This window comes from Homo sapiens, chromosome 17 (genome assembly GCF_000001405.40).
Source record: "Homo sapiens chromosome 17, GRCh38.p14 Primary Assembly".
Classification (NCBI taxonomy): domain Eukaryota; kingdom Metazoa; phylum Chordata; class Mammalia; order Primates; family Hominidae; genus Homo; species Homo sapiens.
Window position 1 is genome coordinate 67,765,336 of NC_000017.11, and position 26,789 is coordinate 67,792,124.

Below are 26,789 nucleotides of genomic sequence, written 5' to 3' on the forward strand. Positions count from 1 at the left end.
AGACGCACCTTGGTTCTTCCTTCGCCCTGATGATTGTGAGGCCTCCCCAGCTACGTGGAACTGTGAGCCCATTAAACCTCTTTTTCTTCATAAATTACCCAGTCTTGGGTATGTCTTTACTAGCAGCATGAAAATGGACTAATACAGCCCTCGTCACCACCTTAATCCAAGCCAACGTGACCTCTTCTAGACAACTGCAAAAGTATCCGTATCAGAATCAGCTTTAAGTATCAAAAAACCCGATTACAGCAGATGAAAGAAGCAAAGCATTACCTTACTCATGTGACAATGACCATGGAAAGAGGCACCCCAGGATAGTTCCGTCTTCCTGCCCCATCATCTGCAATGCTTCACAAGATAGCCACTCACCTCCAGGGATCACATCTGTAACCCAAACAAGAAGAAAAGAAAAGGCCAAAGGTCAAGGGCAAAAGCCTTCTCACTTGGTCTTTGTTCCTTCATTCGGGAAGGGAAACCCTCCCCCAGAGACCTGTGCCTGCATCTCATTGGCCAAAGCTGTGTCACATGACATGGCCATCCCCAGCTGCAAGGGAGCCTGGGAATGTGGGGTTTTGCTCTCCAGCCAGTATAGCAAGGGAAGGCAAAGGAGAAGAGGTTGGGTGAGCCATCCTACAGAATCTCCCACAGCATCCTTACTGCCTCCCTGGAGCCATCCTTTCTTCCCCCAGTGCATGAGCCACCAGTTTTTGTTGTTGTTGTTTTTGAGTGGGGAGGTCTTGCTCTGTTGCCTGGGCTAGAGTGCAGTGGCACAATCTCAGCTTACTGCAGCCTCAACCTCCCAAGCTCAAGTGATCCTTTCCCCTCAGCCTCCCAAGTAACAGGGACCACAGGCAAAACCCACAATGCCAGACTAACTTTCGGATTTTTTTCAGAGACAGGGTCTCCATATGTTGCCCAGACTGGTCTTGAACTCCTGAGCTCAAATGACCCTCTCGCCTCCACCTCCCAAAGTGCTGGGATTACAGATGTGAGCCACTGTGCCCGGCCTATACCACCAACTTTTTATTTATTTATTTATTTTGAAATGGAGCCTTGCTCTGTCGCCCAGGCTGGAGTGCAGTGGTACGATCTCAGCTCACTGCAACCTCCACGTCCCAGGTTCAAGCAATTCTTCTGCCTCAGCCTCCGGGGTAGCTGAGATTACAGGTGCCCATTACCACGCCCGGCTGATTTTTCTATTTTTAGTAGAGACAGGGTTTCTCCATGTTGGCCAGGCTGGTCTCGAACTCCTAAGCTCAAATGATCTGCCTGCGTCGGCCTCCCAGAGTGCTGGAGAAGTGCTACAGGCATGAGCCACCATGCCCGGCCATCACCAGCTTTTTAAAAGCTCAAATCAGAGTGCACTGACGATAACATAGGTGACCTGTAAGACTGGATGATCCACTTCTTTGCTGCTTCTCCAGCTCCCTGCCTCCCTCCTTTCATAACCCCACAGTGCTCCAGGCATACAGGTCTTCCTTCAGTCCTGTGACTATGTCGAGCTTTTTCCTACCACAGGTCCTTTGCACATGCAATCCCCTCAGCCACAGCATGGCTGACTGCTTATCTCTGAGGACTCAACTTGAATGTCACCTCCTCAGAGAAGCTTGCCCTGACCACTTTTTTTTTTCTTTTTTTTGAGACACAGTCACACTGTATCTCCAAGGCTGGAGTGCAGTGGTGTGATCTCAGCTCACTGCAACTTCTGCCTCCCGGGTTCAAGTGATTCTCCTGCCTCAGTCTCCCAAGTAACTGGGATTACAAGCATGTGCCACCAACGCTTGGCTAATTTCTGTATTTTTAGTAGAGACAAGGTTTTGCTGGGTTGGCCAGGCTGGTCTTGAACTTCTGACCTCAAGTGATCCGCCCACCTCGGCCTCCCAAAGTGCTTGGATTATAGGCGTGAGCCACCATGCCTGGCCTTTTTTTTTTTTTTTTTTTTTTTGAGATAGAGTCTTGCTCTGTCGCCCAGGCTGGAGTGCAGTGGCGTGATCTTGGCTCTCTGCAACCTCTGTCCCCTGGGTTCAAGTGATTCTCCTGCCTCAGCCTCCTGAGTACCTGGGATTACAAGCACCTGACACCACACCCGGCTAATTTTTGTATTTTTTTTTAGTAGAGACAGAGTTTCACCTATTGGCCTGGCTGGTCTCAAACTCCTGACCTCAGATGATCTGCCCTTCTTGGCCTCCGAAAGTGCTGGCATTACAGGTGTGAGCTACCATGCCCAGCCCTGACCCACTGTATCTTAGCAGAGTAGGTGGTTTACCCTCTCCTCTCCATGCCTTTTGCTTTTTTTTTTTTTTTAGATGGAGTCTCGCTCTGTCGCCCAGGCTGGCGTGCAGTGGCGTGATCTCGGCTCACTGCAACCTCCGTCTCCCGGGTTCAAGTAATTCTCCTGCCTCAGCCTCCTGAATAGCTGTGATTACAGGCGTGCACCACCACAGCCAGCTAATTTTTGTATTTTTAGTAGAGATGGGGTTTCACCATGTTGGCCAGGCTGGTGTCAAACTCCTGACCTCGTGATCCGACCGCCTCAGCCTCCCAAAGTGCTGGGATTACAAGCATGAGCCACCACGCCCTTCCCATACCTTATCTTTTATCACTTCAACCTCTTCAATTCCTTTTTACTATGAATTTCTATTTGTCATAATTTACTTGCTTCATCAGGCAGGGACAATGTCAGTACAAAAAAAAGCATTTCCAGTACCTAGCACAATGCTAAGTACTCAATAAATATTAGTCTTTTTTCAAGTTTTGCTCTTGTTGCCCAGGCTAGAGTGCAGTGGTGTGATCTCAGCTCACCGCAACCTCCACCTCCTGTGTTCAAGCGATTCTCCTGCCTCAGCCTCCTGAGTAGCTGGGATTACAGGCATGTGCCACCACGCCGGCTAATTTTGTATTTTTTAGTAGAGACAGCGTTTCTCCATGTTGGCCAGGCTGGTCTCGAACTCCTGACTTCCGGTGATCCGCCCACCTTGGCCTCCCAAAGTGCTGGGATTACAGGCGTGAGCCACTGTGCCCAGCCTTTTTGTTTGTTTGTTTTTTGAGATGGTGTCTTGCGCTGTCGCCCAGGCTGGAGTGCAGTGGCGCGGCGCGATCTCTGCTCACTGCAAGCTCCGCCTCCCAGGTTCACGCCATTCTCCTGCCTCGGCCTCCTGAATAGCTGGGATTATAGGTGTGCACCACCACGGCCGGCTAATTTTTGTATTTTTAGCAGAGACGGGGTTTCACTGTGTTAGCCAGGATGGTCTTGATCTCCTGACCTCATGATCCGCCCGCCTCAGCCTCCCAAAGTGCTGGGATTACAGGCGTGAGCCACCGCGTCCAGCCGTGTTTGTTTTTTGAGACAGAGTCTCGTTCTATTGCTCAGGCTGGAGTGCAGTGGTACGATCTCAGCTCACTGCAACCTGTGCCTCCCAGGTTCAAGCAATTCTTGTGCCTCAGTCTTCTGCGTAGCTGGAATTACAGGGGCATGTCACTACACCCAGCTAGTTTTTGTATTTTTAGCAGAGACAAGGTTTTGCCGTGTTGGTCAGGCTGGTCTCGAACTCCTGGCCGCAAGTGATCTGCCCGCCTCGGCCTCCCAAAGTGCTGGGATTACAGGTGTGAGCCACTGTGCCCGGCCAAAATTAGCCAAATTCTTGAAAGAATGAATGAGGAAAGGGAGCTATTGCATCCACAACCTCAGGGTTTCAAGAAACATCCTAATTATGTTCTTTAAATCAAATCAACTTAAATCCTACTTCAAGCCTTTATTTCACCAGACCAATAGGAAATCCAGTCTCAGTCATATTTGGGTTTCCCTCGTTGATATGGTTCCGATGTCCTGCCCAAATCTCATGTTGAAATGTAATCCCCAGTGTCAGAGGTGGGGCCTGGTGGGAGGTGATTGGATCATGGGGGTGGATTTCTCATGAATGGTTTAGCAGCAGCATCTTAGTACTATTCTCGCAATAGTGAGTGAGTTCTCATGGGATCTGGTCATTTAAAAGTGTGTAGCCCCTCTGCCCCTGCCTACTGCTCCTGCTCTGGCCATGTGACCTGTCTGCTCCCCCCACTTCTGCTTCTGCCATCATTGGAAGTTTCCTGAGGCCTCCCCAGAAGCAGATGCCGTTATGCTTCCTGTACAGCCTGACGAAGTGTGAGCCAATGAAACCTCTTTTTATAAATGACCCAGTCTCCGGTATTTCTTTACAGCAATGTGAGAACAGACTAATACACTCACCTTCTATAGCCACTAAGAGGCTTAAATGGTGCCAAGGACGTAGGAGAAGGACAGTCCATCATGGTCTTTGACTAAGCCCCTGAGGTTTCTTGTAGTCTGGCAGATCTCTGTTTCTGTGCAATGCCTGGGATCCAGGAATTTTTGCCAAGGTGAGGGTGGTACCCACCTTGAGTACCCCAGAGCCAAGAATCTAGTCTCCCTCAGTATTCCACTTGGCCACTCCCCACTGAGCACCAGCCATTTCCCTGGAGTGCTGCCAGTGTGTAAGTGTGGGGACCCTACTCTTAACCAAATGTTTTCTCCCCTTTTCTTTTTTTTCTTTTTTCTTTCCTTTTTTTTTTTGAGACAGTTTCACTCCTGTTGCCCAGGCTGGAGTGCAATGGTGTGATCTCGGCTCACTGCAACCTCTGCCTCCCAGGTTCACGCGATTCTCCTGCCTCAGCCTCCCGAGTAGCTGGGATTACAGGTGCCCACCACCATGCCCGGCTAATTTTTTGTATTTTTAGTAGAGATGGGTTTCACCATCATGGCCAGGCTGATCTTGAACTCCTAAGCTCGTGATCCACCCGCCTCGGCCTCCCAAAGTGCCGGGATTACAGGCATGAGCCACCGCACCCGGCCTCCTCCTTTTTATTTTTATGTAGTTATTTATTTTTTGATACATCGAGTCTTACTGTGTCACTCAGGCTGGAGTGCAGTGGTGAAATCTCAGCTCACTGCAACCTCTGCCTCCTGGGTTCAAGCAGTTCTCCTGCTTCAGCCTCACAAGTAGCTGGGACTATAGGCGCACATCACCACACCCAGCTAATTTTTGTACTTTTAGTAGAGATGAGGTGTCACCATGATGGCCAGGCTGGTGAGCTCCTGGCCACAAGTGATCCACCTGCCTCAGTGCTTCTTCTAAAGTGCTGGGGTTACAGGCATGAGCCACCTCACCTGGTCCTCTTCCTCCTTTTTAAACTGAAGTGGTCAAGGCAGCTTGCTTCTGCAGTGTTCAACATGGCCAGAGAAAAGCCTCTTCCATGTTCCATTACTTTATTCTCCAAGTTCTTCTTTTTTTTTTCTTATGGACAGAAAGAAAAGACTCAAACTCATTTGGCTTCATTAATAAACGTCTTCTAAACTGCACACACCATAGGGAGAGTGAAGGGGCTATTAGTCATTTCTGGAAGCAGAGTCTAAGACTGGGAAAAGTATTAAATTAGAAGTCACAAGATACTCATTTTAGCACCACCACTTAGTCAACAAACTTGGACAGTTCATTTCACCATCTTCTTTTTTTTTTTTTTTTTTTTTGAGATAGAGTCTTGTTCTGTCACCCAGGCTGGAGTACAGTGGTGCGATCTCGGCTCACTGCAACCTCTGCCTCCCAGGTTCAAGTAGCTGAAATTACATGCATGCGCCTCCACTCCCAGGTAATTTTTTGTGTTTTTAGTAGAGACAGGGTTTTGCTATGTTGGCCGGGCTGGCCTCAAACTCCTGAACTCAAGAGATCCACCTGCCTCGGCCTCCCAAAGTGCTGAGATAACAAGCGTGAGCCACCGCGCCCAGCCCACTTCACCATCTTCAAAATAAGGCTAACTAAACCATTCTTATGTAGCTCAGGGGACTGTTGTGATAATCAAAGGAGATGACTTGCTAGCAGTTGTTTTCTATGTGGTGTTAATTGCCATAAGTATACATCGATTTTTTAAATTATTTTTATTATACTTTAAGTTCTAGGGAAATGTGCACAACGTGCAGGTTTGTTACATAGATATACATGTGCCATGTTGGTTTGCTGCACCCATCAATTCATTTACATTAGGTATTTCTCCTAATGCTATCCCTCCCCCAGCCCCCCACCCCACGACAGGCCCTGGTGTGTGATGTTCCCCGCCCTGTGTCCAAGTGTTCTCATTGTTCAATTCCCATCTGTGAGTGAGAACATGCGGTGTCTGGTTTTCTGTCCTTGTGATAGTTTGCTGAGAATGATGGTTTCCAGCTTCATCCATGTCCCTGTAAAGGACATGAACTCATCCTTTTTTATAATGTTTTGTTTTTATATGGCTTACTGATTCATTTAATCAGATTACTTTCTTAACATAGCAAAGCATGTGTGGAGAAGACACTGCTGTGTGTAGCCAACATGACAAGTCTGCCAGGTACATAAGGAGTCTGGTACCAATTAGAGGAAGCCAACAGGTCACAGTGCTTTGGTGTACGGATGGGAGCGTGTGTCAGGAGATCCAAAGCAAACAGGGGAAGGAGTTGGGTAGCAAAGGTATAATGGGGCCATTCAATTTTGGAGCATGGGGAGATTGCCCCGGCCAGAAAGAGCAGGGCCATTTCTAGTAGAAACAAAGGAACTGGGCGTGGTGGCTCACGCCTGTAATCCTAGCACTTTGGGAGGCCGAGGCAAGTGGATCCCCTGAAGTCAGGAGTTCAAGACCAGCCTGGCCAACATGGTGACACCCTCATCTCTACTAAAAATACAAAAATTAGCCAGGCATTGTGGTGGCATGCGCCTGTAATCCCAGCTACTAGGGAGGCTGGGGCAGGAGAATGGCTTGAACCCAGGAGGCAGAGGTTGCAGTGAGCCAAGATCGTGCCATTGCATTCCAGCCTGGGCGACAAGAGTGAGACTGTGTCTCAAAAAAAATACAAAAAACAAAAAACAAAAAAAGGGACAAGCCTTGAAAAAGCAGAGGTCAGGTCTACAAGGTCTAGGTAACAAGAGTGGCAGAATCTTAGGCCCAGAGGAAATGGTTCATGAGAGCCAACCTCGAGCACAGGGTTGTGAATCTACAGCTGAGGATCCAGGTGGAAGGACTTGGCAGAGATCAAACGCCAGGCACAGAAGGACTGCTCAGAATAGGTAACCGGCCGGGTGAGGTGGCTCACTCCTGTAATCCCAGCACTTTGGGAGATCAAGGCAGATAGATCACCTGAGGTCAGGATTTCGAGACCAGCCTGGCCAACATGGTGAAACCCTGTTCTGTTAAAAATACAAAAAATTAGCTGGGCGTGGTGGTGCACGCCTGTAGTCCCAGCTACAGGGAGGCTGAGGAAGAACTGCTTGAACCTGGGAGGTGGAAGTTGCAGTGAGCCAAGATTCTGCCTGGGCAACAGAGTGAGACCCTTTCTCAAAAAACAAAAAAACAAAAAAACAGGCAACAACCACTATTTCTGTACTATGTTCCACACTTTCCACGCATAATCACATGTCTTTAAGGAAATTTTTTTGAGACAGGGTCTTGCTCTGTTGCCCAGGCTGGAGTGTAGTGGAGCGATCAAGGCTCACTGCAGCCTCAATCTACTGGGCTCAAGTGTTTCTTCTGCCTCAACCCACCTGAGTAGTGGAGACTACAGGCGTGCAGCACCACATCCAACTAATTGTTTTGATTTTTAATAGAGATGGGATCTCACAATGTTGCCCAGGCTGGTCTCAAACTCTGGAGCTCAAGCAGTCCTCTTGCCTCAGCCTCCTAAAGTTCTGGGATTACAGGCGTGAACCGCCGTTCCCGACCTCAGTATTGACGACGGCCCTGTGAAAAGGGGAAACCAAGAGGTGCAGAGATATTAAGTGATTTGCTTGTAGTCACTCTGCTGCGTGGCTGAGCTTGGTTTTGAATCCAGGACTGCTAACTTCAATACCAATGGAAATGGGTATCAGAAACGAGGAGGGAGGGTGAGCTGGGAGGTGCTGAGGGAAGAAGAAACTGGCAAAGTGGGGCTCAATCCTACCATCGTTTTTGAAAGGGGCTCATGGAGGGGACCCTTGTTCACACATGAGCAGGACTGAGTCTTGCAGGCAGGGATCCTGCGAAACCAGACAGTTCCGGACACAAGGGAACTATTGAGAACAAATCCCAATTCACATAATCATTTCGGCACCTTTCCAGCAATGCTTGAGAAGTCTGCTGCTGGGAAAACCTGGAAAATGCTAGTAAGGCTGAAAATATCTATAAGCAAAGACAATTTTGCAAGATGAGTAGGTAACAACATGGGAAAGTGCTTATGACATAATGTCAGGGAAGAAGGACAGATGATGGCTCTTTTGTACAAAACGCGTAGAGAGAAACGTAGGAAAAGGACCAGGGATTGTCAGGTTGTGGGACAGGATCTTTTTACAGTGATTTCCCAAAATTTCTATAATGTGTTACACTTTTAAAATTATAATCATGGAGACTGTAAAAACAGAAATAATGCTTTGTTTTTTTAAACTGATGTTTATTTTCCCTCAACCTTATTTCCATTTCCTGTTTAAAAGCCTGTGGAAGAACAGCTTAAGAGCACTTTTTTTTTTTTTGAGACGGAATCTCACTCTGTCGCCCAGGCTGAAGTGCAGTGGTACAATCTTGGCTCACTGTAACCTCTGTCTACTGGGTTCAAGTGATTCTCCTGCCTCAGCCTCCCAAGTAGCAGGGACTACAAGCGTGCACCACCATGTCCAGCTAATTTTTATATATATGCATATATATTTTTTGAGATGGAGTCTCGCTCTGTCGCCCAGGCTGAAGTGCAGTGGCACAATCTCGGCTCACTGCAAGCTCTGCCTCCTGGGTTCACGCCATTCTCCTGCCTCAGCCTCCCGAGTAGCTGGGACTACCTACAGGCTCCCGCCACCACGCCCGGCTAATTTTTTGTATTTTTAGTAGAGACAGCGTTTCACTGTGTTAGCCAGGATGGTCTCGATCTCCTGACCTCGTGATCCGCCCGCCTCTGCCTCCCAAAGTGCTGGGATTACAGGCGTGAGCCACCGCGCCTGGCCTAATTTTTGTATTTTTAGTAGAGATGGGGTTTCACCATTTTGGTCTTTTTTTTTCTTCTTTTTTTTGAGACAGGGTCTCGCTCTGTCACCCAGGCTGGAGTGCAGTAGTGAAATTATGCCTCACTGCAGCCTTGACCTCCTGGGCGCAAGTGATCCTCCCACCTCAGCCCCCCAAGTAGCTGGGACCACAGGCTGGCACCACCACACCCGGCTAATTTTTGTGTTTTTTGTAGAGATGGGGTTTTGCCAGGTTGCTCAGGCTGGTTTTGAACTCCTGGGTTCAAGCGACCTGTTCACCTCGACCTCCCAAAATAGTAGGATTACAGGCATGAGCCGCTGCACCTGGTCTAGACCCATCTTCAGTGGCAGTCTGAGTGCTGTGTTCTTCAGTAGGGACCTACTTAACAGGGACAGAGAGCACCTGCACACCTTCAGACAAGTCTGCAACCTCGGATGGCAGTTCATTTGCTCTTAAGGTCCTTCTTGGTCACTGCCTTTCAGCAGTGACCTGTTCTTTTTCAGTATTGTCAACCCAAAATATCTGAGACAGGTCTCAGTCAACTTAGAAAGTTTGTTTGTTTTTGTTTTTTTTTTTTTTTTTGAGACAGTCTCACTCTGTTGCTCAGGCTGGAGTGCAGTGGTGCAATCTTGTCTCACTGTAGACTCTGCCTCCAGGTTTCCAGCAATTCTCCTGCCTCAGCCTCCTGAGTAGCTGGGATTACAGGCGCCCACCAAAACGCCTGGCTAATTTTTGTATTTTTAGTAGAGACAGAGTTTCACCATTTTGGCCAGGCTGGTCTTGAACTCCTGACCTCAGGTGATCTGCCCACCTCGGCCTCCCAAAGCGCTAGCATTACAGGCGTGAGCCACCGTGCCTGGCCTAGAAAGTTTATTTTGCCAAAGTTAAGAACATGCTGTGACATAGCCTCAGGAGGTCCTGATGACATGTAGGTGGTCGGGGTACAGCTTGCTTTTATAAATTTTAGGGAGACATGAGACATCAATCAATACATGTAAGATTTACACTGGTTTGATCTGGAAGGGTAGGACAACGCAAAGGGTGGGACAACTCAAAGGGTGAGGGGTGCTTTCAGGTAATAAGTAGACTTAAAAATGTTCTGATTGGCAATTGGTTGAAAGTTATTATCAGTAGAAAGGAATGTCTGGGTTAGAATAAGAGGTTGTGGACCCCTGGACACCTAGGTTATTTCATACAGATGAAGCCTCCAAGTAGCAGGCTTTAGACAGAATACAGATATTTCTTATGAGACTTAAGGTCTGTGTTGGTGTTAATGCTGGAAGGGTATAAGGAGCCATGTCCAACCCCCCTCTTCCATCATGACCTGAACTGGATTTTCAGGTAACTCTGGAATGCCCATGGCCAAGAGGACGGGTCCATTCAGATGGTTGGGAGGCCTTAGAATTTTATTTTTGGTTTAAAATATCTTTTTTTTTTTTGAAGACCAAGTCTTGCTCTGTCACCCAGGCTGGAGGGTAGCGTCACCATCTCGGCTCACTGCAACCTCTGCCTCCTGTTTTCAAGGGATTCTCCCACCTCAGCCTCCCTAGTAGCTGGGACTACAAGTGCATGCCACCACACCTGGCTAATTTTTGTATTTTTGGTAGAGATGGGGTTTTGCCATGTTAGCCAGGCTAGTCTCGAACTCCTGACCTCAAGTGATCCACCCGCCTTGACCTCCCAAAGTGTTGGGATTACAGGCGTGAGCCACTGTGCCCAGCCTATAATATCTTTAGAATCTCTGCAGAAGTAGAGCTCAGGCATGAGATCCTATGGTGATCACAGGAGATGGTGTTACACATGTACAGAACTTCCCTGCCAGCACCCACCACAGCAGACCCACTCAGGAGCTCCTTTCTCGTTGCTTGGGATGGCAGTGTCCACGCAGTGTCAAGGAGAATCTTTGTGACCAAGAGCCATGGTAGGCCGGTTACCATGAAACACTTCTGTGACAGGCTGGTGGTCAGCCCCAGGATCAGTAACCATCAGAAGACGTGGCTCCCAGGCCGGGCGCGGTGGCTCACGCCTGTAATCCCAGCACTTTGGGAGGCCGAGATGGGTGGATCACGAGGTCAGGAGATCGAGACCAACCTGGCTAACATGGTGAAACCCCGTCTCTACTAAAAATACAAAAAATTAGCCAGGTGTGGTGGCGGGTGCCTGTAGTCCCACCTACTCGGGAGGCTGAGGCAGGAGAATGGCGTGAACCCGGGAGGTGGAGCTTGCAGTGAGCCGAGATCGCGCCCCTGCACTCCAGCCTGGGCAACCGAGCGAGACTCCATCTCAAAAAAAAAAAAAAAAGAAGACGTGGCTCCCAGAAGGCTGTCTGGATCTGGTTAGTGAAGGTTCCAAGAGTGAAGTGGCCAGCAGTGAGAGCGGCTTCAGTGGCAGCAGCAAACTTCAGCACAGCCCGCTGGCTAGTATTCCTGGAGGGTATGACACGGGAAACAGCTGGGTTTTCGAAGGCCACAGTGGCATGAGTGGCCGGCACAAGCTTCTCTCAGGTCATCTCCAGTTGTTTTTATTTGTTGTTTTGTTTTTCTTTTGTTGTTTTGAGATAGTCTTTCTCTGTCACCCAGGCAGGAGTACAGTGGTGCAAACATAGCTCTCTGCAACCTCAAACTCCTGAGCTCAAGTGATTCTCCCACCTCAGACTCCCAAGTAGCTAGGATGGATGAGTGCCACCATGGCTGGCTGATTTAAAAATCGTTTTTTGTAGAGATGGAGTCTTGCCATGTCACCCAGGTTGGTCTCAAACTCCTGGGCTCAAGCTATACTCCTGCCTCAGCCTCCCAAAGTGCTGGGATTACAGGCGTCAGCCACCTCGCCCAGCCCCCTTCAGATTTATAAGGTAGATGCCATCACTTTTCCTTTTGGAGATGTCCTGTTCCATTTGGAAGTCAAGATTGGTGCCACCTAAGTGGGTTTCTTCCACAAGGAATTTGACAATATCTTTCTTCTTCATTTGCAGGATATCAAGAGTACCAGACATTGTAAAAATTTCCCTTTATGTGACAAAAGAACTCAGGACAATGCTGTAGGGACCCCTCTCTAAATAGTGTAGAAAGCTGAAAAAATGTTTATGAGTCAGTTGTGAGTCTGCTCTTTCAAGAAGAGCATATAATAGACAAATATTTTAACTAAGAACATTGTGCAGGGCTGGGTGTGGTGGCTCAGGCCTGAAATCCCAGCACTTTGGGAGGCTGAGGCAGGAGGATCACTTAAAACCAGGAGTTCAAGACCAGCCTGGGCAAAATAGTGAGACCCCATCTCTACCAAAAAAAAAAAAACCAAAAACAAAAAAACACTGTGCACAGTGATGTATATTCAGTGACTGGTACATAGTAGATGTTCAATATCTAAATAAGGAAATAATAAGAGACTGGGCATGGTGCCTCATGCCTGTAATCCCAGCACTTTGGGAGGCCGAGGCGGGAGGATCACCTAAGGTCAGGAGTTCGAGACCAGCCTGGCCAACATGGTGAAAACCCATCTCTACTAAAAATACAAAAATTAGCTGGGTGTGGTGGTGGGCCCCTGTAATCCCAGCTACTCGGGAGGCTGAGGCAGGAGAATCACTTGAACCTGAGAGGTGGAGATTGCAGTGAGCTGAGATTGCACCATTGCACTCCAGCCTGGGCAATGAGGGTGGAACTCCATCTCAAAAAAAAAAAAAAAAAAAGAGTGATTGTGCAACCATTGTACTAAGGTGGTTGGGTTAGGATGAGATGTTTTCTTCATCCAAAATTAAATTTGCTGTAATGTTACACTGGCTTTCAAAACCATAAAGAAACCACAACACTTTACTAAAGGCCTATTTGCTAGGATTCTTTACGCATTAGACTGTGAAACAAAATTCTTAGCTGAGGCTGGGTGCAGTGGCTCATGCCTATAATCCCAGCACTTTGGGAGGTCAAGGGAGGTGGATCACTTGAGGTCTGGAGTTCAAGACCAGCCTGGCCAACATGGCGAAACCCCATCTCTACTAAAAATACAAAAGTGGCCGGGTGCGGTGGCTCATGCCTGTAATCCCAGCACTTTGGAAGGCCGAAGCGGGTGGATCACCTGAGGTCGGGAGTTCGAGACCAGCCTGACCAACATGGAGAAATCCCATCTCTACTAAAAATACAAAATTAGCTGAGCGTAGTGGCACATGCCTGTAATCCCAGCTACCCAGGAGGCTGAGGCAGGAGAATCGCTTGAACCCGGAAGGCAGAGGTTGCGGTGAGCCGAGATTGCACCATTGCACTCCAGCCTGGGCAACAAGAGCAAAACTCCGTCTCCAAAAAAAAACAAAATACAAAAATAGCCGGGTGTGGTGGGGCACACCTGTAATCCCAGCTACTTGGGAGGCTGAGGCAGGAGAAATGCTTGAACCCAGGAGGCAGAGGTTGCAGTGAGCCAAGATGGCGCTACTATACTCCAGCCTGGGCAGCAGAGTGAGACTCTGTCTTAAAAAAAAAAAAAAAAAGGGGGGGCCGGGTGCGGTGGCTCACGCCTGTAATCCCAGCACTTTGGGAGACCGAGGCGGGCAGATCACGAGGTCAGGAGATCGGGACCATCCCAGCTAAAACGGTGAAACCCCGTCTCTACTAAAAATACAAAAAATTAGCCGGGCGTAGTGGCGGGCGCCTGTAGTCCCAGCTACTTGGGAGGCTGAGGCAGGAGAATGGCGTGAACCCGGGAGGCGGAGCCTGCAGTGAGCCGAGATCCCGCCACTGCACTCCAGCCTGGGCGACAGAGCGAGACTCCGTCTCAAAAAAAATAAAATAAAATAAATGCTTTTCTGTGACTTTGCCACCTTTCCCTCTCCGGAAGAGCCATTAGCGCCCCCTGCTGCCTGAGCCGGCGCACTCCACTCTGCCCTAGTGGAGAGGGGCCGGGTGATGGGGGCGGCAATAATGGGAGCGGCCCCCTGGGCTAGAGCGGTGCCTCCAACCCCTGATCCTCCTCATCACAACCCATTTGTCAGGGCCAGGGCCAGGGACTCGGCCAGATACAGGGAGACAACCCCACAGGAACATCAGGGAAGGTGATGCAGTCGAGACTTGCTGGTGTCCTGTCCCAGACCATGATGACGTCCATCTGTGCTGCTGCCAAGTTAAACCAGAGTGTTCTGGTTAACCTGGATTTGACCTTGGAGTTCTGGCCTCTGATTTGCCTTCCCTAGGACTCCATGTGCTCACTCTGCGTACAGATATTCTTGATGCATTTGCTAGTCTGATTTTGGACTTCAAATGTCTTGGTGTTTTTTGTTTGCTTTTTTCTTTTTTCCAGACAGATTCTCATTCTGTCGCCCAGGCTGGAGTACAGAGGTGTGATCTTAGCTCACTGCAACCTCTGCCTCCCCGGTTCAAGCAATTATCCTGCCTCAGCCTCCCAAGTGCTGGGACCACAGGCACATGCCACCATAGCTGGCTAATTCTTTGTATTTTTTGTAGAGATGGGGTTTTGTCATGTTGCCCAGGTTGGTCTCGAACTCCTGAGCTCAAGCAATCTGCCTGCCTCAGCCTCCCAAAGTGTTGGGATTATAGGTGTGAGCCACCACACCTGGCCTTTATTTATATTTATTTAATTACATTTAAAAATTTTAAAGAATTGATGCTACAATTCACAAATTTCTTCTTCGTCAGGGAAACCTCAGTTCTGAAGACTTTTCTACTGGCTGAATGAGGTCCATCCAGATTATTATTTTTGGGGGAAAGGGAGTAGCACAGGGTCTCACTCTGTCACCCAGGCTGGAGTGCAGTGGCGCCATCTCAGCTCACTTCAACCTCTGCCTCCCAGGCTCAAGTGATTCTCCCACCTCAGCCTCCCAAGTAGCTGGGACTACAGGCACACACCACCACACCCGGCTAATTTTTGTATTTTTTTTTGGTAGAGATGGGAGTGTGCCATGTTGCCCAAGTTGGTCTCAAACTCCTGGGCTCAAGCGATCCTCCTGCCTTGGCCTCCCAAAGTGCTGGGATTATAGGTGTGACCCACCTCGCCCTGCCTCCACCCAGATTATTGAGGATAATTTCCTTTACTTAAACTCAATTGATAGTAGATGCTAATCACATCTACAAAATACCTTCTAGGCCAGACACAGTGGCTCACGCCTGTAATCCCAGCACTTTGGGAGGTGGGTGGATCACCTGAGGTCAGGAGTTCGAGACCAGCCTGGCCAACATAGTGAAACACCGTCTCTACTAAAAATAAAAAATTAGCTGGATGTGGTGGCATGCACCTGTAGTCTCAGCTACTCGGGAGACTGAGGCAGGAGAATCACTTGAACCCAGGAGGCAGAGGTTGCAGTGATCACACCACTGTACTCCAGCCTGGGCGACAGAGTGAGACTCTGTCTCAAAAAAAAAAAAAAAAAAAAAAAAAAAAAACAAACTTCTAGCAACACCTAGATTAGTTTTGACTGAATAATGAGGTACTATAGCATCGCCAACATGGCAGAGGGCACTGGGCACTACCCATGTTGATGAACAGAAGGCCAAAGCAGCACTCCATTCTCAGGCAAACTCAATGGGCTGAAGCCATGCTATCTTCCCTGGTGTGTTCTCATAGAAGCAGGAAGCAAGGCCACTCTCCCGACTTTACCAACATCCTTTTCCACATGGACAAAGTGAAAGGGAAAATCATTGCTTCTGGGCCTATATCTTATAAAGTTCAAATTGAAAACAGCTCTAGTCAAATGCAGTGGCTCACGCCTATAATCCCAGCACTTTGGGAGGCCAAGGCAGGAGGATTGCTTATGCCAGGAGTTTGAGACCAGCCTGGGCAACATATCAAGACCCTGTTTCTATAAAAAAATTCAAACATTAGTGAGGTGGGGTGGTGCAAGCCTGTAGTCCCAGCTATTTAGGGGGCTAAGGCAGGAGGATCACTTGACACCAGAAGGTGGAGGCTGCAGTGAGCTCCGATCATACCACTATACTGCAGCCTGGGCAACAGAGTGAGACCTGTCTCTAAAAAACGTTATATATGTAAAAAGAAGAAAGCTTTCTAGATTTTATTCATATTTAGCCTAGGGACTGAGACAGCTCAGGCCAGGGACATTGTGTTCCAGATGGCTGGGTTAGAAACTAGACCAGTAGGCCAGGCATGGTGGCTCACACCTGTAATCCCAGCACTTTGGGAGGCCAAGGTGGGTGGATCACTTCAGGTCAGGAGTTCGAGACTAGCCTGCCAACATGGTGAAACCCTGTCTCTACTAAAAATACAAAAATTAGCCAGCCATGGTGGCCAGCGCCTGTAATCCCAGCTATTCAGGAGGCTGAGGCAGGATAATTACTTGAACCCGGGAGGCAGAGGTTGCAGTGAGCCGAGATCGTGCTACTGCACTCCAGCCTGGGTAACAAAGCAAGACTCCATCTCAAAAAAAAAAGAAAAGAAAATGAAACGGCTGGGCGCGGTGGCTCACGCCTGTAATCCCAGCACTTTGGGAGGCTGAGGCCGGTGGATCACGAGGTCCGGAAATCGAGACCATCCTGGCTAACACGGTGAAACTCCATCTCTACTAAAAATACAAAAACTTAGCCGGGCGTGGCGGCGGGCGCCTGTGGTTCCAGCTACTCGGGAGGCTGAGGCAGGAGAACGGCGTGAACCCGGTAGGCGGAGCTTGCAGTGAGTCGCGATCACGCCACTGCACTCCAGCCTGGGCGACAGAGCCAGACTCCGTCTCAAAAAAAAAAAAAAAGAAAAAGAAACTAGACTGGTAAGAGGGACAGGCACCACCCCTATACTCCATCACCTGGGGCTTATTATTGTGCCAAATTTGTCTGCCTGAAGCCGTCTTCCCTTAGGATGCATTATTTCCCAGGGGCTTACACCCATAATCCTAGCACTTGGGGAGGATGAAGAGGGTGATCACTTGAGGCCAGGAGTTCGAGACCAGCCTGGGCAACACAGTGAGACGCCCCCCATCTCTACAAAAAAAATACAGAAAATTAGCTGGGCATGGTGGTGGTATACACCTATAGTCCCAGCTACTTGGAAGGCTGAAGTTGAAGGATAGGCTGAGCCTGGGAGATTGAGGCTGCCAGTGAGCTGTCATTGCACCTCTGCACTCCAACCTTGGCAACAGAGTGAGACCTTGGCTCAAAGTAAATAAATAAAGATGTATAATTAAGAGCTTGTGAACAGATACATCTCTCACATATAATTATTTGTTTTTCTGAAAGGAAGTCCAAGAAACTGTTTGCCTTTAAAAAAAGGGAAAGGTCGTATGGACAAAAGATTTTACTTTTCTTTTTTTTCTTTCTTTTTTTTGTTTTTAGACAGAGTCTTGCTCTGTCTCCAGGCTGGAATGCAGTGGCGCGATCTCAGCTCACTGCAACCTCCAGCTCTGTGATTCAAGCAATTCTCCTGCCTCAGCTTCCCAAGTAGCTGGGATTACAGGCATGCTCCACCATGCCCAGCTAATTTTTGTATTTTTAGTAGAGACGGGGTTTCACCATGTTGGCCAGGATGGTCTTGATCTCCTGACCTCGTGATCCGCCTGCCTCGACCTCCCAAAGTGCTGGGATTAAAGGCATGAGCCATCATGCCCGGCCAAGATTTTTTCACTTAGCTTTTATTTGTAATTTTGGATTTCCAAATCTATCTATCTATAAATATATATATATAAAAATATATATATAATTTTGTCGAGTATCAACCAAGATGCCCTAACACAATTTAACGTAGTTTAATTAATTTCACATATCTAACTCACTTTATTTTACTTATTTATCTGTTTCTGTGACTGTCCCTCTGTCATCCAGGCTGGAGTGCAGTGGCGTGATCTCGGCTCACTGCAACCTCCACCTCCTAGGTTCGAGCAATTCTCCTGCCTCAGACTTCCAGATAGCTGGGATTACAGGTACACCCCACCATGCCCGGCTAATTTTTTTTATTATTTTTGGTAGATACCAGGTTTCACCATGTTGGCCAAGCTGGTCTTAAGTGATCCATTCTCATTGGCCTCCCAAAGTGCTGGGATTACAGGCGTGAGCCACCATGTCCAGCCCACTTAACTCACTTTAATTTAGTACTTAACTATATTTGAAATGCTTGTGATAACTCTCCATGAAGGAAAAGTAAGATATGTAAGAATTGGGAGGAAAAAAGTACATATATCACTTTTGGCAGTCAATATATTTATATTCTGGAAAATCAAGCTAAAAATAACTTGAGTTTGCCATGGGATTAGCAAGATTTCAGGTTGTAAGAGTCAACTGAATTAATACAAACTAGACTGAGCATGGTGACTCATGCCTATAACCCCAGCACTTTGGGAAGCTGAGGCTTTTTTTTTTTTTTTTTTTTTGAGGCGGAGTCTCGCTCTATCACCCATGCTGGAGTGCAGTGGCGTGATCTCAGCTGACTACAACCTCTGCCTCCTGGGTTCAAGCAACTCTCCTGCCTCAGCCTCCTGAGTAGCTGGGATACAGATGCATGACACCATACCTGGCTAATTTTTTTTTTTTGAGTTGGAAATTCGCTCTTGTTGCCCAGGCTGGAGTGCAATGGCGTGATCTCGGCTCGCTGCAACCTCTGCCTCCCAGGTTCAAGTGATTCTCCTGCCTTGGCCTCCCAAGTAGCTGGGATTACAGGCATGCACCACTGCATCTGGCTAATTTTGTACTTTTAGTAGAGATGGGGTTTCTCCATGTTGGCCAGGCTGGTCTCCAACTCGACCTCGTAATCCACCCCCCTCGGCCTCCCAAAGTGCTGGGATTACAGGCATGAGCCACTGCACCTGGCCTATATATATATTTTACTACTATATGTATATGTATATATGTGTATATATAGCATATATATGTATATATGTGTATATATAGCATATATATGTATATATACTAGTAACAGTATATATATACACATTTTCACTACACTAGTCAAAGTATACACACACACACACTTAGCAGTATATATTATATATATATTCCAGTATATATATCTACATGTAAAAGATATATAGATATATATATAGATACATAAAATATATATGGATACATACACTGGAAAAGTCAGTGAGGAGAAAACGATTCATTGACAATACTAAATAAAAACCAAACCAACCAGGAAACATTTAGGAACTAGCTTCACTTTTGACATGTAACCAGAACAACACAGTAAAGGTTGTTGCCTGGGAATTAGAAGTGAAACACCACGCCCAAATGGCTCAAGCTGGTGGCCAGAGATAAGAACTTAAAGGCATCTCTCCCGCCTAGCAGACTGGGCCCCCTGGTTTCCCATCACTTCCTTTAAACAGACTACTCAGGCATTTGCCCACAAACTTAAAGGGGCTTTAAGTTCAACTTTAAGTGACACCCTATTTGTTGCAGGTGGTAAACGATTTTACCAAGACAGCTGTAGGTAAAGAAAGGCAGATTTAACCACTCTTCCTCTTTCCCTAAGCGGCCTGAGGTAATCTGTGAAAATGGTTCGCTATTCATTTGACCTAGAGAACCCCACAAAATCACGCAAATCAAGAGGTTCAAATCTTCGTGTTCACTTTAAGAACACTCATGAAACTGCAGGCCATCAAGCGTATGCATATACAAAAAGCCACAAAGTATCTGAAAGATGTCACTTTACAGAAACAGTGCGTACCATTCCAATGTTACAATGGTGGAGTTGGCAGGGGTGCCCAGGCCAAGCATTGGGGCTGGGCACAAGGTCGGTGGCCCAAAAAGAGTGCTGACTTTTTGCTGCACATGCTTAAAAATGCAGAATTTAAGGGTTTAGATATAGATTCTCTGGTCATTGAGCATATCCAAGTGAACAAAGCACCTAAGAAGGGCTGCTGGACCTACAGAGCTCATGGTTGGATTAACCCATGCATGAGCTCTCCCTGCCACACTGAGATTATCCTTACTGAAAAGGAACAGATTGTTCCTAAACCAGAAGACGAGGTTGCCCAGAAGAAAAAGATATCCCAGAAGAAACTGAAGAAACAAAAACTGATGACACAGGACTACATTCAGCATTAAAATAAATGCAATTAAAAGTTAAAAAAAAAAAAGGCAGATTTATTAGAGAAAGCGTGAAAATATGTTGCAAGGGTGCGATGGGCAGCACAGTAGAGAAGGGGCTGTCAGCCAAGGGGCAGGGGCTAGGGGGAGGTTTTATAGGGTCTTGCAGGAGGGGGGCTACATGCAGAACAAGGTTGTAATCCTGGCGCTACATGCCAAACAGGTCATTGTGCCCACAAGTTTGTGATTAGCACTTTCTCAGAACAAGTGTTCGTTTTTCTCCCCCACCTGAGACCCTGTCCTCATTTCGCTTACTTATCAGGACTCCACACTATTCTCTTATACGTACCACTAGTTGCTTCTCTCACTCTCTGCCTCTTAATTTCTGCCTTGCCTGACCTGAGGATGGAGGATGATACTCCTGACTCATGGCGCCTTCCCTGCCCAGGATCTGTAAGTAATAAACCTTTGATCATATTTCCTACTGTGGTGGATTGAATGGGTGCCTTTCATCTGAAGAACCAGGGGCTACCTAGGTTTTCCAGGGACACTGGGAAGAACACAAGGCTGGGCTCTCAGCATCAAAGCGATGGTTAGACAATCATAAACTGAACACAGACCAGACAACAGCCATGGGAGCGTCTGCCAGGATAAACACATTTCCCATGTGAAGGAGCCCCTGGGCACAGGTTGGGCAGCTAAGCATTAGACCTTCCACCACGTTAAAGAAGTACCCCATGAGAGACGCACTGTAGACACCTATGCCCAGCTCCCTTCATTTCCCATTAGGGCAGGGCTGCTAGCTGCTCTGGTACTGAAACCCCAGTTTAGCTAGGGGCTCTCAAAACAGACATATAAGAGCCATTCAATAAAAATAAATGTTTCTTGGCTGGGTGCAGAGACTCACGCCTGTAATATCAGCACTTTGAGAGGCCAAGATGGGCAGATCATGTGAGGCCAGGAGTTTGAGACCAGCCTGGCCAACATGGTGAAACCCTGTCTCTACTAAAAATCCAAAAATTAGCTGGGCGTGGTGGCGCATGCCTGTAATCTCAGCTACTCAGGAGACTGAGGCATGAGAATCGCTTGGACCCGGGGAGGCAGAGGTTGCAGTGAGCCAAGATGGCCCCACTGCACTCCAGCCTGGGCAACAGATCAAGACTCTGTCTCAATAAAAAAGAGAGAGAAGAAATGTTTCTCAAAAGAGGAATAACATAGCCATTCTAAAACAATACTGACTTGGAAGACTGGTGTGTGATTGAGACCTTAATTCTTGAAATAATATAGGGCCACATTGTTTTCATCCTTTTTAATTGATTGATTAATTAATTGTTTTTCTGAGACAGAGTGTCTGTCGCCAGGGCTAGAGTGCAGTGGCGCGATCTCAGCTCACTGCAACCTCCACCTGCTGGTTTCAAGCGATTCTCCTGCCTCAGTCTCCCGAGTAGCTGGGATTACAGGTGCCTGCCACTATGCCCAGCTAATTTTTTTGTATTTTTAGTAGAGACGGGGTTTCGCCATGTTGGCCAGGCTGGTCTCGAACTCCTGACCTCATGATTCACCTGCCTCAGCCTCCCAAAGTGCTGGGATTACAAATGTGAGCCACCATGCCTGCCGTTTTCACACCTTTCTTAAAGTGGCAGTAGCTTTCTTCATGTGAAGTTCTTTCTATTCAGAGGCTTTATATATAGGACAGATACTATTCTATATATAAAAAGTACAATTGCTTTTGCGCAAATTAAAAGAAAATGGTATATATACATAAACACATTTGTTGATATATGACAGGAAAGTTTCTGGAGGGATACATAAGCCATTGTTAGTTTTATTTTATACCTTTGTGTACTGTTTAAATTATTTTACCCTTAGTATGCCAGAAAAAGTCATCACTGTTGATCATCTGGGGCCAATAGAACCTTCAAATTTTAAAAATATTTCCTGTAAAGCAATTTACAATAGTAGGAATAAGGGATAGTGAAAAACAACTTTATTAGAAACTTTAACAAGAATGCTTTATCTCACTACTGGGTCAGTATATAAACATGGTGTTATTTTTCCTATGTTAAAACCTCTCTCTTGATCCATCCCACAAGCCCCTCCTATTTCTGCCCCCATTTCTCTGCTTTTATTTTTATTTATTTATTTATTTATTTTGTGAGAGGGGTTCTTGCTCTGTCACCCAGGCTGGAGTGCAGTGGTGTGATCATAGCTTGCTACAATCTCCATGTCCTCAGTTTAAGTGATCCTCCCACTTCAGCCTCCCAAATAGGTGGGACTACAAGTGCATGCCACCGCATGCTTGGGTAATTTAAAAAAAAAAAGTAGGCTGGGCACTCATCCCTGTAATCCCAGCACTTTGGGAGCCCAAGGCGGGCAGATCTCTTGAGTTCAGGAGTTCGAGAACAGGCTGGCCAACATGGTGAAACCCCACCTTTACTAAAAGTATAAAAATCAGCCAGGCATGGTGGGACACAACTGTAATCTCAGCTACTTGGGAGGCTGAGGCACGAGGCGGAGGTTGCAGTGAGCCCAGATTGCGCCACTGCACTCCAGCCTGGGCAACAGAGTGAGACTCCATCTAAAAAAAAAAAAAAAAATTATAGAGATAGGGTCTCACTATGTTTCCCAGGCTGGTCTGTTACTCCTGAACTCATGGGACCCTCCACCTTGTACTCTCAATCTCTGCTCCTCTTGAGAACAAAATCCCTTGAGAGAATTGTCAATACTCCCTCTTTCAATTTGTCTCCCTCATTCTCTCCTAAACCCCCTGTAATTAGGCTTTGTGTTCCCACCACTCTTCTGAAACTGCCCTTGTTCCAGTTGCCAAGGACTTTCATGTTGCTGATCCAATGGTCGTCTCAGTCTTTACTTGTCTTGAACTGTTGGTGGTATTTGACATGGTCGATCATTTTCTCCACCTATTTTCTTCATTTGGCTCCTCCAATTCTATTTCTTGCTAGTTTTCCTCCTACCTTGCTGGCCCCTCATTGTCAGTTTCTTTGGCTGGTTTCTCTTCATCTCCCAAACAGTGAATGTTGAAGAGTGCTGGGGTGTGGTCCTCGAACCTCTCCTCCATCTATAGTCACTTGCTTGTGATCTCATGCAGTTTCTTGGGTTTAAATATTATCTAGGTGGTAACTCTCAAACTTAATTTTCCAACCTGGATCATATCATCCCCACTGGATTCCAGGTTTGTATACCCAGCTGCCCTCTTGAACATCTTTTTTTTTTTTTTTTTTTTTTTTTTTTTTTTGAGATAAGGTCTGGCTCTGTCACTCAGGCTGGAGTACAGTGGTGCAATTACAGCTCACTGCAACCTCTGCCTCCTGGGCTCAACCTCCACCTCCCACCTCAGCCTCTTGAGTAGGTGGGATTACAAACATGTACCACTATGCCTGGATAATTTTTGTATTTTTTTGGTAGAGATGGGGGGTCTCACCTTATTGCCCAGGCTGCTTTTTAACTCCTGGGATCCAGTGATTTTTTTCACCTCAGTCTGCCAAAGTGCTGGGATTACAGGCATGAGCCACTGCACCTGTCCTGAATATCTACTAGGTGTCTCAAGCCTAACAAGTCTACAATTAAACTCTGATCTTCCCCAACTTGTTCCTCCCTTAGTCTTCCCTGCATCAGCTAATGACAATTCTCCTTCCAGTTGCTCAGGCTAAAACTCTGGAGTCATCCTTAATGACTCTTTTGCACATGCTCTGCATTTTGTCCGCCTGCAAATTCCATCATCTCTATCTTCAAAATATCCAGAATCTGACTCCATTTTGCTGCTTCCACTGCTAGCCTCCAGGCCCACGATGCTGGCCACTATTTTTCACTTGGAAAATTGCAGTAGCCTCTTTTATTCCCCCTTTTTTAAAAAACTTTTTATTTTTATTATTATTTTTTTGAGACAGAGTCTTGCTCTGTTACCCCAGGCTGTAGTACAATGGCATGATCTTGGCTTACTGTAACCTCCGCCTCCCAGGTTCAAGCAATTCTCATGCCTCAGCCACCCAAGTTGCTGGGATTACAGGTGCCTGCTACCATGCCTGGCCTAATTTTTATATTTTTAGTAGAGATGGGGTTTCACCATGTTGGCCGGGCCAGTCTTGAACTCCTGACCTCAAATGATCTGCCCGCCTTGGCCTCCCGAAGCTCCGGGATTACAGATGTTACTCACCACACCCAGCCTCTACGTACATTAGCTCCTTTAATCCTCATTTAAAAATTCTTGTGGTAGATATGAAGAGTCTTCAAAAAATTCACTAAAAACGCACATAATGAATGAAAATACTATGCATGGATTTCAAACATTTTTTGTACCAAAATAAACGCATACTAATTTGTCATAACCTTTCACATCAAGATCTGGTTTGAGGCACTAAGGATAAGACATTGTTTGAAAAGAGCCCCTGTCAGAGCAACATGAATTCTGCTAAAAAAAACACTTTTTTTTTTTTTTAAATAGGGCCTTACTCTGTTGCCCAGGCTGGAGTACAGTGGCATGATCACATCTCACTGCAGCCTTGACCTCCTCCGCTCAAGTAATCCTCCCACCTCAGCCTCCCAAGTAGCTGGGGCTACAGGCGTGCACCACCACACCTGACTAATTTTTTTGGGAGAAGGGGGGATGGAATTTCACTCTCATTGCCCAGGCTGGAGTGCGATGGCACGATCTCGGCGCACTGCAACCTCTGCCTCCCAGGTTCAAGTGATTCTCCTATTTCAGGCTCCTAAGTAGCTGGGATTACAGGTGCGTGACACCAGGCCTGGCTAATTTTTGTATTGTTAGTTGAGATGGGGTTTCACCATGTTGGTCAGGCTGGTTTCAAACTCCTGACCTCAGGTGATCCACCCACCTCAGCCTCCCAAAGTGCTGGGATTACAGGTGTGAGCCACCATGCCTGGCCAACACCACAGTTTCTTTATCCACTTGTTGACTGATGGATATTTGGGCTGGTTCCACATTTTTGCAGTTGTGAATTATGCTGCTATAAACATGCGTGTGCAAGCATCTTTTTCATATAACGACTTATTTTCCTCTGGGTAGATACCCAGTAGTGGGATTGTGGAATCAAATGGTAGATCTACTTTTAGTTCTTTAAAGAATTGCCACACTGTTTTCCATAGCAGTTGTACTAGCTTACATTCCCACCAGCAGTGTAGAAGTGTTCCCTTTTCACTGCATCCATGCCAACATCTATTATTTTTAAATTTTTTGATTATGGCCATTCTTGAGGAGTAAGGTGGTATCACATTCTGGTTTTGATTTGCATTCCCCTGATCATTAGTGATGTTGAGCATTTTTTCATATGTTCGTTGGCCATTTGTATATCTTCTTCTTCTTTTTTTTTTTTTTTTGTTTGAGACAGAGTCTCGCTCTGTCGCCCAGGCTGAAGTGTAATGGTACGATCTCCATTCACTGCAACCTCCGCCTCCCGGGTTCAAGCAATTCTCCTGCCTCAGCCTCCTGAGTAGCTGGGATTAGAGGCGCCCGCCACCACGCCTAGCTAATTTTTGTATTTTTAGTAGAGACGGGATTTCACCATGTTGGTCAGGCTGGTCTTGAACCCCTGACCTTGTGATCCACCCACCTCGGCCTCCCAAAGTGCTGGGATTACAGGCGTGAGCCACCGCGCCTGGCTGTATATCTTCTTTTCAGAATTGTCTATTCATGTCCTTAGCCCACTTTTGGATGATGGGATTGCTTTTTTGGCAACAGTTTTTGATGCTCAAGACATTTTGCTGTTGACTTTCTGGAGAGCCAAAGAACAATAACATCTGCTTATTAGGAGAGTGTTTTAAGGAAGTTAGTCGAAGCTTCTGCAGAAAAATGCCAGCAAAGTTTTACTGGAGAGTTCTTCTCCACCACAGCAATGCTTCTGCTCATTTCTCTCATCAGACAAAGGCAATTTTACAAGAATTTCAATGAGAAATCATTAGGAATGCACCTTTTTTATTGTTTTATTTTTTTTTTGAGATGGAGTCTCACTTTGTCACCCAGGCTGGAGTGCAGTGGTGCGATCTCGGCTCACTGCAATCTCCGTCTCCCAGGTTCAAGTGGTTCTCCTACCTCAGCCTCCCGAGTAGCTGGGATTACAGGCACCTGCCACCACGCCCAGCTAATTTTTTTTTTTTTTTTTTTTTTTTTTTTTGTATTTTCAGTAGAAACGGAGTTTCACCATGTTGGCCAGGCTGGTCCTGAACTCCTTACCTCAGGTGATCCGCCCGCCTCGGCCTCCCATAGTGTTGGGATTACAGGCATGAGCCACTGCGCCTGGCCTAGAATGCAACTTACAGTCCTGATTTGGCTCCTTCTGACTTCTTTTTTTTTTTTTTTTTTTTTTGAGATGGAGTCTCGCTCTGTCGCCCAGGCTGGAGTGCAGTGGCATGATTTTGGCTCACTGCAAGCTCTGCCTCCCGGGTTCAGGCCATTCTCCTGCCTCAGCCTCCCCAGTAGCTGGGACTACAGGTGCCCACCACCACGCCCGGCTAATTTTTTTGTATTTTTAGTAGAGACGGGGTTTCACTGTGTTAGCGAGGATGGTCTCGATCTCCTGACCTCGTGATCCTCCCGCCCCAGCCTCCCAAAGTGCTGGGATTACAGGCGTGAGCCACCAAGCCTGGCCATGCTCCTTCTAACTTCTTTTTGTTTCCTAATCTTTTTTTTTTTTTTGAGACAGAGTTTCGCTTTGTCACCCAGACTGGAGTGCAGTGGTGCGATCTCAGCTCACAGCAAACTCTGCCTCCCGGGCTCAAGATATTCTCCTACATCAGCCTCTCAAGTACCTGGGACTACAGGTGTGCACCACCACACCTGGCTAATTCTGTATTTTTAGTAGATAC

General features: G+C 47.0%; 2 pseudogenes, besides 3 other annotated features; one reads left to right on the forward strand and one right to left on the reverse strand.

Annotated features, from left to right (window-relative positions):
• Window positions 2,603-3,203: an enhancer, noted in NCBI's record as "H3K27ac-H3K4me1 hESC enhancer chr17:65764054-65764654 (GRCh37/hg19 assembly coordinates)". NCBI's record gives its function as "activates a minimal SCP1, AML or CMV promoter by ChIP-STARR-seq in naive H9 embryonic stem cells {active_cell/tissue: H9 hESC(naive)}" and the evidence as "EXISTENCE:reporter gene assay evidence [ECO:0000049][PMID:30033119]".
• Window positions 10,723-12,048, reverse strand: RPSAP67 (ribosomal protein SA pseudogene 67; annotated as a pseudogene).
• Window positions 18,998-19,292: a silencer, noted in NCBI's record as "tiled region #7199; HepG2 Repressive non-DNase unmatched - State 10:DNaseD". NCBI's record gives its function as "weakly represses a minimal TATA promoter and a strong SV40 promoter by Sharpr-MPRA in HepG2 cells {active_cell/tissue: HepG2}" and the evidence as "EXISTENCE:reporter gene assay evidence [ECO:0000049][PMID:27701403]".
• Window positions 18,998-19,292: an enhancer, noted in NCBI's record as "tiled region #7199; K562 Activating DNase unmatched - State 5:Enh". NCBI's record gives its function as "activates a minimal TATA promoter and a strong SV40 promoter by Sharpr-MPRA in K562 cells {active_cell/tissue: K562}" and the evidence as "EXISTENCE:reporter gene assay evidence [ECO:0000049][PMID:27701403]".
• RPL17P41 (ribosomal protein L17 pseudogene 41) lies at window positions 19,398-19,996 on the forward strand (annotated as a pseudogene).